The 13,867-nt window shown below is 42.4% G+C and overlaps 1 protein-coding gene across 1 annotated transcript; it reads left to right on the top strand.

Annotated features, from left to right (window-relative positions):
- The first annotated feature begins 2,996 nt into the window (after positions 1 to 2,996).
- LCE3E (late cornified envelope 3E) lies at positions 2,997 to 4,123 on the top strand. Its single transcript, NM_178435.4, has 2 exons — positions 2,997 to 3,039; positions 3,548 to 4,123. The coding sequence occupies exon 2, from the start codon at positions 3,569 to 3,571 to the stop codon at positions 3,845 to 3,847; it is 279 nt and encodes a 92-aa protein (NP_848522.1). The 5' UTR covers positions 2,997 to 3,039; positions 3,548 to 3,568; the 3' UTR covers positions 3,848 to 4,123.
- Positions 4,124 to 13,867: the final 9,744 nt, after the last annotated feature.

Here is a 13,867-nt window from a genome sequence, read left to right as displayed (position 1 = left end):
AGTATGACCTACACAAGGGGCAAAGTCCAGGGAGGTAGTCAAGAGAGACTGTCCCTGAAGAAGTTTAAACATTGGTTTTACTAGACAAAGATAAAAATCAACTATTTTAAATGTGCTTAAAGTACTAAAATAAACTACGTCTTAAGAATTAAAAGAAAACATAAGAATGTTGTCTTGCCAAATAGAGAATAACAACAAAGAATTAAAAAGAATTTCTTAAAACAACCAAATAGAAATTTGAGGCTTGACAAATATAATAACTGAAATTTAAAATTGACTAGAAGGGCTCAACAGCAGGTTTGAACTAGAAGAACAAATCAGTGAACTTGAAGATAGGTCAATTGTGATTATCCAACCCGAGGAACAGAAAGAAATAAGATTGAATAAAAATTAACAGAGCCTTCAGAGGCCTGTGAGTAACCATCAAGCCCACCAACATGTTTATAATAAGAATCCCAGGAGGAGATGAGAGAAATAAAAAGACAGGAAGAATATTCAAAGGAATAACAGTTAATTACTTATCAAATTTGATGAAAAATATTAATCTACACATCTAAGAAGATCAACAAACTCCTAGCAGGGTATAGTCAAACCTCTCCACACCTAAACACACCATAGTACAAATGTCAAAAGACAAAGAGAGAATTTTTAAAACAGCAAAAGAGAAAAGACCCATCATATACAAAAAAAATTAATAATAACATTAACAGCTGGTTTCTCATCAGAAACCATGGAGGACAGAAGCCAGTTGGATAACACATTCAAAGTGCTAAAGAAAAAAAAAGTAAACCAAGAGTTCTATATCCAGCAAAACTATTCTCCAAAAATTAAGACATTCCCAGATAAACAAAAATTGAGAAAATTTGTTTCCAGAAACCCTACTCTACAAAAAATACTAAAAGGATTAATTCAGTCTGAAATGAAATAACACTAGAGAGTATTTGAAATTTTTATGAAGAAACGAAGAGCATTTGTAAAGTTAACTACATGGTAAATATAAAAGACAGTATAAATGCATTTTGTGCTTTTAAGTCTTTTTTCTCCAATTTGATCTGAAAGACAACTGCATAAAGAAATACTTATAGAACTGCATTGATGGCCTTCTAATGTAAAGATATGATTTATATGACAATAACAGTATACAGAAGGGGGAGGGAACAAACCTACACAGGAGCAAAGCTTTGCGTGCTATCAAAATTAAGTTGGTATTGATCTGAGTTATAATCACTGTAAGTTAAGATGTTAATAAGAACTCCCAAGGAAACCACTAAGAAAATAACTCAAAAAATATACTAAAATATATAACATTGAAATTAAAAGGGTATACTAGAAAATGCCTGTTCAATAAAAAACAAAGCCATAGTGAAGAAAAAGAGGGGCAAAGAAAGTTATGAAATATATAGGAAATAAATAGTAAATGGTAGACATAAATTCTACCTTAATAGTAATTACATTAATTGTGAATAGATTAAATACCCCAATCAAAAGGCTAAGACTGGCAAAATGGATAAAATAGCATGAACTAACTATATGCTATCTATAAGACACACATTTTAGGCTCAAAGACAAAATAGATTCAAAGTAAAAGGTAGAAAAACATACACCATGCAATGGTAATCAAGAGATCTGGAGTGGCTATACAATACTGGACGAAATAGACTTTAAGACGAAATTAATGGCAGAGACAAAGAGGACATTTTATAATGACAAAAGGATCCATATCTATTAAAGAAATAATTATTATACATATATATGCACCTAACAATGGAGTCCCATATTACATGTAACAAAGACTAACAAAATTGAAGGGAGAAACAGACAACTCATAAACAATTTAACAATAATACTTGAAGCTTTCATACTCCACTTTCATTAATGGAAGAACAACTAGGAAGAAAATCAACAAACTGAAGACTTTAACAACACTATAAACCAATTAAATCTAACAGACATCTTGTTGAACACTCCAACCACAATAGCAGAATACACATTTTTCTCAATTGCACATGGAACATTCTGCAGGGTAGACCATTTGTTGGGTCATAAAAGAAGTATCATTAAATTTTAAAACACTGAAATCATACAAAGTATCATCCGTAACCACAGGAGAATGAAACTAGAAATCAATAACAGAAGGAAAACTGGAAAATTCAGAAATGTCTTAAGCAACCAATGAGTTCAGAAAGAAATCACAAGGAGAATTAGAAAATACTTTGAGATGAATGAAAATAAAAATACAACATACCAAAAATTATGGGATACAGCAAAGGAAATGCTTACAGGGAAATACATGGCTGCAAATGCCTACATTAAGGAAGAAGAAAAATCTCAAATCAATTACCTAACCTTCTGCCTTAAAACACTGAAAAAAAGAAGAAACTAAACATAAAGCAGGAGGAAGGAAATAATAAAGATTAAGTTTGTAGCTGCATTATTCACAATAACCAAAAATTGGAGCTAACTCAAATGTCCATCACTTGATGAATGGTTAAATAAAACGTGCTAAATTCATAAAGTGAAATATTACTCAACCATAAAGAAGAATGGAGTTCTGACACATGCTACAGCATGGATAAATCTTAAACAATATATTAAGTGAAAGAAGCTAATGCAAAATGCCATATATTATATGATTCTATTTATATGAAGTGTCCAGAATAGGCAAGTCCATACAGGCAAAAAATTGATTACTAGTTGCCAGAGGGGCAATGTGGAATAAGGAGTGACTACTAATGAGTGGTGATAAAAACAATTGCTTCAAGGAAGGTAGGATTGCAACCCCCAGCAGGCCTGAATGAGGTGAAGGTAAACAGGCGTCAGACCTTCCTGGTTCCCTCTTGTCAGGCATCTTGGTGAGTACACAGGAAGGTGATGAATGGATAGTCTCAAGGGTGTGCCTGGCTGTCACCTCCCCTGGTTGTGAAAGCAGCAGCATGCCCAGCCTGTGCATCACACACCCTGCACAGGATAAAAGCACTCCTGCCCTGGGCTCCTCCACAGTCTCCTCAGGAACAGCCTTCTCCTGCCTCTCTGCACCTGGTAAGTATTCAGCAGGGGACAGGGCTTGATATGGGATGTTAGAACAGAAAGCTAAGGCCATAGCAGAAGAGATGGAAACAGAGAGGTTTGAAACAAAGACCCAGATACAGGACTGTGAGAGGGCAGCAATGGGGGAAGGGGGCAGGAGGGAGACCCTGCAGGAACTGACAGCAATTCCATGACCTGCAAAGGCCACAGAGCTCACAATTCCCTCCCATCCTCTTTCTACTCAGGCAGGCACATTTCCTGTAACATCCATTCTACAGAATTCTTTTTCCCAAAAGGGTGCATTCCCTAGGGGTTCTTTGGAGAAACAGAAACACACGTGCCCACTTAGACTCACAGCAATCTGTCCCGGGTGGAGAGCAATGTGAGAAGTATCTGGCATATCCCACCAGCTCCACATCAGCTTCCCTCACCCTCTTGCAGCTCTTGCCTCAGGAGGCAGCTGGTCTTAGAGACGTTGGACTGTAGATTTTGAACTAAGAAGTGGCTTCGTTTTCTCCAGGACATCTCAACTCCTGCCAAGATGTCCTGCCAGCAGAACCAGAAGCAGTGCCAACCCCCACCCAAGTGCCCCTCACCCAAGTGTCCCCCAAAGAACCCAGTACAGTGTCTGCCTCCAGCTTCCTCTGGCTGTGCCCCAAGCTCTGGGGGCTGTGGCCCTAGCTCCGAGGGCGGCTGCTTCCTGAACCACCACAGGCGCCACCACCGATGCCGGCGCCAGAGGTCCAACTCCTGTGACAGGGGCAGTGGTCAGCAAGGCGGGGGCTCTGGCTGCTGCCACGGTTCTGGGGGCTGCTGCTGATCCAGATCCTGATGCTGAGACAAGCGATCTTTGGAGGAAACAAGAATCCCAAGAGGCCAAGAACAGCCCCATCTGACGCATGCCTTCCCATATACCCTCTTCTGACTTTCACAGGCTGAGCTGGAGGTTTTCCTGTGGGGGATCTGAGCTCTCCCCAGAAGGCACTTCTTGTTTTATGTACAGGATGTCATATGTCCCCCTACCCCTGTACCTGCCAAGGATTGGCAGTGCTTGTGCCCAACCTCGTAAAAAAGATAAAGTTCCTTGTCCTCATTACCACCAGCGTCCCACTGGGCATTTCACAGTCTCTCTCCTCAGCTCTTTGGTCAGTACAACCCAGCTCAGGAGCCAAACCTTATCTCTGCACCAGGAAAACATAGTGGATCCGACCCCGCTCCACTGATGGAAGGGAAGGGGAGAGTTTTATGTTGTAGTGGGAGGGAGAGAACGACACAGGTTGTGCTGGTTTGAGGCCCTGAAACTCAACCTCAAACTCAAAGAGGGTATCAGTGCAAAAATTGACTTTTCCTGTAAAATCTGAGAGGACATTAATACAATTGGGGAATTTCCAGTGTATGACAGAAGACCACTAGTTTGTTTTGATGAGCTGTTTCTGGAGTGCTAACTAAGAAACCGGAAATCAAAAGGCAAAAAAGCAGAAAATAGGCAGAAGAGAAGCAGAATCAAAAGATGGAGGGAAGAGATGTAAGCCTTGGGAAGAAGTATAACTCAGTGACTGAAAATCCAGGGAGAGAGATGAAAGCTGAGAGAGGTGCTTAAATTAATGAGATAATGGAGCAGAGATGTGGCTGGGAGTTTACTCAATGAGATTATTGGAATGTGCAAAATGAGAATTTTAGGAAAAAGAAAAAGGCAGAAAATGAGAAGTGTTCCTGGAATTATAAATAGATATACCAAAGAAGCAACAAATTATTAATTTTGTAACTACACGACCTTGACATCAACACATGGAAGTTACAACTTCAATGGAGTCACATGTTTTGGCCTAAATTGTGAGACTGAGATGCTCCTGGGGTTGAAGGAATGTTTTTTTATGTGAACTAAGAGTAACATCTCACTTTGACTACCAGAAAACCAGAGAAGTGTCACGTAGAGCTACAGTCAAATTACAAATACTAAGAGAAGTTGATGTGAGGGCTAAGTAGAGCAGGTGGAGGGGGGGCATTAAAAATAAAGATGGATAACCTTATAAGTCCATTGAACTAAAAAAGGATTTTGTCAAATCCTATAAATTAATTCTTAAAATTTAGGGATCAAAAAGACCCTGAGGCCCAGCATGGTGACTCACACCTGTAATCCCAGCATTTTGGGAGGCCAAGGCAGGTGGGTCACTTGAGGTCAGGAGTTCAAAACCAGCCTGGACAACATGGTGAAACCCCATCTCTGCTAAAAATACAAAAAATTAGCTGGGCGTGGCGGTGGACACCTGTAATCCCAGCTACTCAGGAGGCTGAGGCAGAATTGCTTGAACCAGGAGTCAGAGGTTGCAGTGAGCTGATTGTGCCACTACACTCCAGCCTGGGTGACAGAGTGAGACTCCACCTCCAAAAATAAGAAAAAAAAAGAACCTGAGAGAAGTTTAATATCAGATATTCAGATACGCACCAATAGGTATTTAAAAAAAGAGAGAAATTTGTTGAAATTGAAGCAGGAGGCACAGCTTTGGGCCATTGGTTTAAGTTCGGTTTGAAATCACTAGAGAGCTCTCACCCAGGGACAGTGAAGGGGGTGAAAGGCCTGCCCCCAGGGAAGAGTGTGCCATGGCTGATACAGCCTGCAAAGCTCCACACTTGGAATGTGAGTGATACCCACATGCAGACCCAGCATCTCTGTGCAGACCTGGAAGCAGCATGACACAGGCTGGACAAAACTGGAGAATTAGAGCCTGCCTCCTGTCAGGGGCTGCAGAACAAGGTTGGAGGCCCAGAACACCTCATTCCACTACACTGAAGAATGACGGGGTTCTGGCTATGGTTGGATCGAATCTGAGTGGAGAGAAAATGGAGCAGAGTCAACATTGCTGGCAAATCAATGAGATCCTGGGAATCTATAAAGAAGTATAAAAGGACCTCTCAAAAATGGAGCCCAATAAGGGAGTTTCCAGCAGCAGAGAAAAACAAAGTCCCAAACTGCATCTGGGCAATACCAAGTCCTGAGCCCTGGACCCATTTATTCACTTGACACATTTTTATTGAGCATTGATTATGTGCTTGATTGTAGGCACTAGGGACACAATAAGGAATCAGAGAGACAAATTTCTGTCTTTTGGGACCTCACATTCAAAACTGGTCCAAAGGAGACAGTTCCCGATTTTGCATGCATCGCAGAGTGAATCACAGTGGCCTTCTCCTCAGTTGGCCTCTCAGCCTCTGGAGGTGAGTGGACACTGGTGTTTATTTAATAAACCCAGAGAAGACACTCAGCCTAGGCAAAATATTGAGGCTCTGAGACAGTGGCTTTGGTGGTGACAAAAGGAAAGGGCATCAAGTGTTTTCTAGCTTCCACATCAAAAGACAACAGCCAAGAAAGAAGAAAGGATAAATCATGACTACCAAGGGGACAAAGTTATTGCACAAGCAGGCCTCTCTCCTCATGCCCTTCCCCATCTCCCTCCCTCTCTCCACAGCCCTGTGAATAAACCTCTTCTCACAGGGTCACTTTTCATCCCACAAATATTAACTATTTCATCATCTAATGGAGATTTCATCACTTATACGCCTCCCTGTAACAGGATAACCAGACACAAAATTTTCATCAACGTTTATAAAAGACAGTAACATTTTGTGATCATTTTAATTCGTGTTTTTGATTTAAAAGATTTGTCCCATTTTTAAAGGTGGTGTTTCAGAGGCAATGCATCTCTAATGTTATATAAAATGCAATGGAAAAAATACTACATAGCTTATGTAATTGCAATTTGCTAAATCCTGTTCAATCACTGCCCATTCAGTGTTCACAAGCTTCCCCACTGTTGGCCTCATCATCACTACATCCATGAAGTATTATTCACAGCTCAGCTAATTTCCCTTAGCCACCCCAACTAAGGTGGATCACTCCCTCCCTGAAACTACTCTGGAGCTCTTAGAGTAAATACCACAGTCACTAAGATACTGATACAATGGCCCTCAGATGTACTTTAATTTGTAAACCATGTCCTCACAGCCTCTATAGACTTCCTGTCTCTTTCTCTGATTTTGCCCCTCACATCTTTGGTCCATTGTGCCTCTTATCACTTTATAGCTTCCCACCTTGATACCAGCTGCTACCTGGGGAAGCAGGATTCAAACTCAGGAATGTCTGAGTCCAAAATGAATGCTCTGAACAAGCCCATTATCCTGCCCCCTCCACTTTGTCTTAGATCCCTCAGGGTCCCCCTCAGCTCTCTTCTCCTTAGCAACAGCATTATCTCTTCCTCCTGGTGAGGTTCCATGAGCTGGGTTCCATTAGCTCCTCTTGGTATCACCATCTTGGCTGGCTGCCCACAGACAGATCAAGGATTTATACCTCTGCTCCTGCTACTTGCACAGATACTATTGTCAAAGGCCAGTGATCTCATCCTCAAATGATAGCATGTGGCAACATCTAGACACATTTTCCCCCACAGAGTCACTCCAAGTAAAAGGGGTTTGAAACCCAAAGGGTCTGAACTTGAGCCCAAGGACATTCCACACACCTGCATTCCTGTACTTGCCACATTGGATCATGCTTATTTTGTTATTTGTCTGTCTGCCCCACTGCACTGTGAGCTACTCAAGAACAGAGAACAAATCTTATTCATTTATAACTCTCCTGTGTATAGCAAAATGCCTGGTGTGCCATATCAGCACAACACATCTCACTTGAATAATTGAATAAATGGATGACTGAATGAAAGAAAAAATTAAAGTGACAGGCCTACAGGAAGGCTGGGCCCCAGGAATTTCAAGAGTCCTGTGACTTTCCTCACAAAAAAACTCTTAGCATCTGCCCAAGAAGATATAGAGGGCGTAGTAATAGAGATTACAGTTGTTCAGCTCAACATATTCCAAAGTAAAGAAGGAAAGAATGACAGAAGGAGGGAAAGGTAGGGAAAGGGAAAGGGAATGGGGAAGGAATAGAGAGGGAGGGGGCAGGAAGGGAAAGAGAAGGGCAGGAGGGCAGGAAGGAAGAAGAGAAGGGATGAGGGGAGGAAGGACAAAAAGAAAAATAAGAGATGGTAGGCCTACAGAAGATTTAAAGAACAGATATTTGGACAGTTTGGGGGATTCCTGGATCTTTTCCATTAGTAAGGCTCTCTTCCATTCCCCTTTTACTCCCAACCACCACATGGAGGGCTTCACATCTCTCTGTGGTACCTGTGTCTCCACTAGGGACACAAGGATAACATTGAGAACCCAGATTGTCTCAGCTGCTTGCCATGGTCATGCTAATGGTTTGGGGATGGGAAGGTCCTAAACTGAAAGGAAGCTGTGTTCTGCAGGGAATGAAAAAGATCTTTTTGTTATTTAGATAGTCATTTACGTGTATTTTATATGACCTGATTAAAATGCACTCCAAAGAGCCAAACCTGAGCCACTATACCACCTGTGCCCATCATTCCCATTGGCACTACTAAGTCATGAAATTATCCAGATATATCCAGCCAGGCCAGGTTCTCTTGTCACCTGACCTCACAGAACCTTAGAAAGCCAGAGATCTAAGGGTGGTACTCCTGGTAGAGATTACCCTCAGAGAGCTGATGTCATGCTCTGGGTAAGTGGCAGGGCAGTGGTCCTCCAGCCAAGCCTCTGTCATCCCAGGACACCTGCTCAGCCTTGAACCTACAGAGCTCCTGCTCTGATAACAAACAGAGGGGCCAAAAAGTGGGAGTTCCTCGTGGAGGGGAAGAAAGTTTGGTGGGCATCCTCACCAGGACAAGTATGGAGCCTCCCAAGCCAGGCATCGGGGGAGGGGCTGTGGAGAGGCCCATATGCACACATCTGCTGCATTCCATGAGACAGAAGGAGGGCCCCCACTACAGTTCTGGGGTGTTTTGAAACTTTAGAACTTACTCCTCTGTTGTTGTATCCCAAATACTAGAGATTCTACACCTAAGAAGCAAAAGTGGCCACCCAGCTTTGTTCAGCTTCACAATCTAGGTACCATGAGAAAGTACTTGGTCCATTTTTCTTAAGTGCCTTTTTGCAGGCCAGGGTCTACTGAAGAAACCCTAAACAATATGAGAAAAACGGCCACTCAGGAGTAGTTCTGGAAATGATTCTGAAAATACCTTTCAACCAGAGGCAGGTACCATGGGCTGGAGGCAGGAAAAGGCTGCTGAGGATATCAAAATCTGCACCCACCCTCTACCCATCCACACAGAGCCACTGTCCTCCTTACAGCCCGGTGCATTTATGCTCCTACAGGCATCACTATGTACTTAAAGGGGCAAACTCTTAGGCAGAGTAAGAGAAAAATTACACCCACTGATAATGAACATAATTTAATTTTCTTTGAAAATTATAATTTTAATATGGCTAAAGTTTGGTTATAGACCTGACTGTGATTTATCTTGAAAAATATCTAGCAAAAGGTCTTTTAATATTAGAGATTAATTGAATGATAAATTCATTTAAAATTAAAATGAAATTAACAAGGAAATAGCATTCAGTTTGCACCAATTCGGCATACCCAAACATAGACACCATCAGGTCAGCTTCATTACAAGAGATGCACCCAGCACTACCATCAACCTCATAAGCAGCAACACGTACAGCAAAGCCATCTTCATCAAGGCCATCCATTATCATGCACATTTGCACAACTTCCTTACCGAGTCCAAGCAGATGAACGACTCCTCCCTCAGTGTTTTCATCGTCTTCAAATAAAGAGCACGCATTCCTTGGATTTTGATGGAAGGTCATGCTTTTTTATAATGCGTCAGTTGTGACTCTTATTACTGCAACTATTGTACTTTCCTTCTCTACATTTGCCCTTCAATCGGGTACTCATTTGACTCCCCTCCTCTCCTGCCCGGGGGCTCTTTCAGGGACCCTCACCTCCCCTGACTTTAGGCTTCCATCTGTTTTACACACAGCCCATACTGAATGTCCAGCGTCCTTAGCTCAGTCACCGCCCCAACAGCAAGTCACCACCCCAACACCACATCTGGGTGTTTGGTTTTCCTAAGGGAACATGCTAGAAAGAAGTATATGGACAAAGACCTGCAAACTTTGTGCATAGTGACTTACATTATAGCAATTTTCTCATGGAAGCAGGCTCCCTATTTACTTGTTTGTCTGTGCAATTAGACAATTAATTTCTATAGGTCAGGTGACATGTCATATTGAACTCTACCTTTCACCACAAAGCACAGGGCACAGCCTCTTTTAAGGACACATGTAGGCCTGGGTGGAAGATGCACAAGTGAGGACCAGGCTCTTTGTGGTCAAACATGCCATCCTGTTCCAGGGAAGGTGGATAAGTCCTGAAGCTGGGCTGGGGTACTTAGTGCTGTCAACTCCCCCAGCAGCCCACTCATGCTGCCCCTCACATGCTAGGAGCTCCTGTCCTGGGCTCCCCAGTCCACTGACTTCTCAAAATCAGCATTCTCTGGCTTCTATGAAATCAGATGGATGTCTAGCTGGAGACAGGACCTGAGCTGGAAGACCTAGGAAGACAAGCCCAGGCTTCCATCAGGGGAGAAGGAAGCAGAGGGTCTGGGATGGAGGCACCAGGAAGAGTGTGGGGTTAATGGGCACCCTCTCAGGATGTTTCAGGTGTCCTGTGACTGTGAAGGTAATGGGTTTTCAGCACACCCTCATCTTCTTCCTACATTTGTTCTGCGAGATGCACTGATCTCACCAGACATCATCAAGGAAGGTTTACCCAAACAGGCTTATTCTCCTCTGTGATTACATGGAGATAAGATACCTGAGGGGCCCAGTTAGAAAAGACTCAGCATCCTTTTCTAGTAGGAGACCAGAGAAAAACGCATTTTTCCAAGGTAAACTAACTCCAAGTAACTTTTCATTTCTTCCGTGTATTTCTTAGTTCAGTAGGAGAGCATGGGGTCTATGACACCCATCACAGAAGAGATATTGACAGAGGTTTGTGCATTACAAGCACATCTGATTCTATTGATGTCTTCTGAGATGCCCTCCAGCAAAACCAGCAGCAGTGATAACCCCCAAAGCCTTCAAAGTGCACACCCCAGTACTAAGCCTCATACCCACCTCCAGCCTTTCCCTGCAGCCCCAGTTCAGGGGTCACTTTAACTTTAGTGGGGCACTGCTGCTTGACCTATCAAAGGCCCCATCTTTTCTACTGGCACAGGCACCACAGCCTCTACTGCTGTGAGTGAGCCTGCCAGGGGCTCCAGCCATTGCTAGAGAATTACTGCTGACCTTGGCAGTACATTGAGATGAGCAATTTTAAAGGAACCAGAGACCAAAGTGCCCAGGATTAACCTCAGTCTGATGTACCCACTCCTAACCTCCTGCCCATGGTCTGAGCTCCTGAGTTCATCCTGAAGAGGGTTGTCAGTGATCTCCAGCGGTCTCCCTGGGTGTCCCTCATGGTTGTCTCCACACCCATGTTCTGTTCAGTGCTTAGCAGCACTTATGTCTCACTCTGTGAAAAATAAAGCTTCTCTTCTCCACCTACATTTCTATTTTGCCCCTCCCAAAGCTGCTCCATTGCTCTTCCCCTTCTTATCTCCCAGGCTGAGTGCCTCACAGGACAAGAAGAATGAGAAATGTCACTTATCTCCATTCATAGGGAGACCGTGAGGAGTTTATGTGTTAGGACTGGAAAGAGGTTGCAGAAGGACACACGGCTGCAGAGAAAACATTCATATTATTTCTATAGGGAAGATCTGGGTGTTGACGGGGTAGGAAGGGATCCTTGAAAGCTAATTAGGTGACAGGTGCAAAGAGAGAAATGGAGGTGTTTGCAAGGGCATATACTGAGAGGAACTTAGGGAAAGGGGAAAAAATGAGATCATTTCAGGAGTTGCAAATTGGATATGTATTCATAGGATCTATAATTTATATAGGACTCATAATGTACCAGTGGCTTGACATACAGTAAATAACTTAATCCTCACTGCAGTCCTTTGAGTTAGATACTAGCCTTCTCCCATTTTACAGAGGGGAATCAATGTAGAATGGGTGCCCAAGGTCTCCCAGAAGCTGCCGTGCAAACCCAGACAGTTTCACTGACCACATGCTCCTGACCACCATGGTACCCTGAATTCCTCTAAAATGTTTTAAGAAATATGAAAAAAAAAAAAAAGGATCCCTAGACCTGGGCACAGAGACCTAGCTGTGCCTGTGGAGTCAGATCTGTGCTCCAAAGTACCACCAGAACTCCTGCTGTCAGTGAATTACCCCAAGATGTAGAAAGGTGGCACCAGAATCAACTAAGAAAGTTTGGGTTGAGACATTAGTACAGTTCATGGGAGCCAGAAGTTATGGCAGTGGTGACCCGCCACTGGAAGCTGATTCCTACAAGTGAGGTCTCAGTAAGTGTGAAGACAGACTTTTCAGTCCTCATCAGGGGACTTCTAGGCCAAGCCTCATTCATTCAAAAATTTATTCATTCACTACATACTTATTTGGCACTGGTCTAGGTACTTGGATCAGTTTGAAACAAGACAAAGTCCCCTCTCAGGGAGCTTATGTTCCAGGGGCCCATTGGAGGCATCTTCTGGCTTCCTTGCTTGGCAGCAGATTTAGACAAAGGTGGCTCTATATTCAATTGGATTCCCACTCTGGGGCACTTGACAGATGCTGGTAAAGAGTAGCTAAACCCAGTGAAGGCACCCATCATGGGCAAACTTTTGACATTGGATATCATTGTCTTAGTGGATACAAAAAGGACATCTAATATCTGCTTGCTTCCACACCCAAGGTAAGAGTTTAGTGAGGCAAGGAATAGGTGGTTATTCCAACCATGAAATGTTTGTTTGAAAGTTGAAAAGTCCTCGTCCTTTCCCAGTCTCATTCTCAGGGAACAACCCCATTCACCCAAGTGTCTTGAAAGTGCTTTTGTTTCCTACTTGGCTATAATGTATGTGAGCAAATAAAAAAGATGGCCACACCTACAGACTTCCCTGTATCAGGATACTCAGACATGTTTAATGTAATAATAGTGTTTTTAAAATACCTATTAATAATTTTTTGAATAATGATTTTATTATATTATTTCAACTTTTATTTTACATTCAGCAAACAGAGAGAATTTGGCATCCTCTTTTCCTATTTGGATGCCTTGTATTCTTTCTCTTGGCTGATTGCACTGACTAGGACTTCTAGCACTATGTTGAATAGGTGTGGTAAGAGTGAGAATTAATGTCTTGTTCCTGTTCTTAAGGGGATGTTTCCAGCTTTTGCCCCTTCAGTATGATGTTGGCTGTGGGTTTGTCATAGACGGCTCTCATTATTTTGAGGTATGTTCCTTGAATACCTAGTTTGTTGAGGATTTTTATTATGAAACAATGATGGATTACATCAAAAGTTTTTTCTGTATCTATTGAGATTATCATATGGTTTTTGTTTTTAATTCCATTTAGCTGGTGAATCACATTTATTGATTTGCTTTTTGTTGAACCAACTCTGCATTCCAGGAATAAAGCCTACAAACTTGATCATGGTGCATTAGCTTTTTGAGCTACTGCTGCATTCAGTTTGTTTGTTAAGGATTTTTGCATCTGTTTCATCAGGGATATTTGCAATAGTTTTCCTTTTCATTGTCTCTTTTCCAGATTTTGGTATCAAAATGATACTGGGTTTGTAGAATGAGGTTGAGAGGAGCCCCTCATCCTCGTTTTTTTTGTAATAGTTTCAGTGGGATTGGTACCAGCTCTTCTCTGTACCTTTAGTATAATTTGGCTGTGAATCCCTCTGGTCCTGGGCTCATTTTGGTTGGTAAGTTTTTTTGTTATTGATTCAATTCTGGAACTCAATATTGGTCTGTTCAGGGTTTTGGTTTGTTCCTGATTCAGTCTTAGGGGGTTGTGTGTTTCTAGGAATGTATTCA

Source organism: Homo sapiens, chromosome 1 (assembly GCF_000001405.40).
Source record: "Homo sapiens chromosome 1, GRCh38.p14 Primary Assembly".
Lineage (NCBI taxonomy): Eukaryota > Metazoa > Chordata > Mammalia > Primates > Hominidae > Homo > Homo sapiens.
This window is presented reverse-complemented; position numbering and strand designations above follow the sequence as displayed.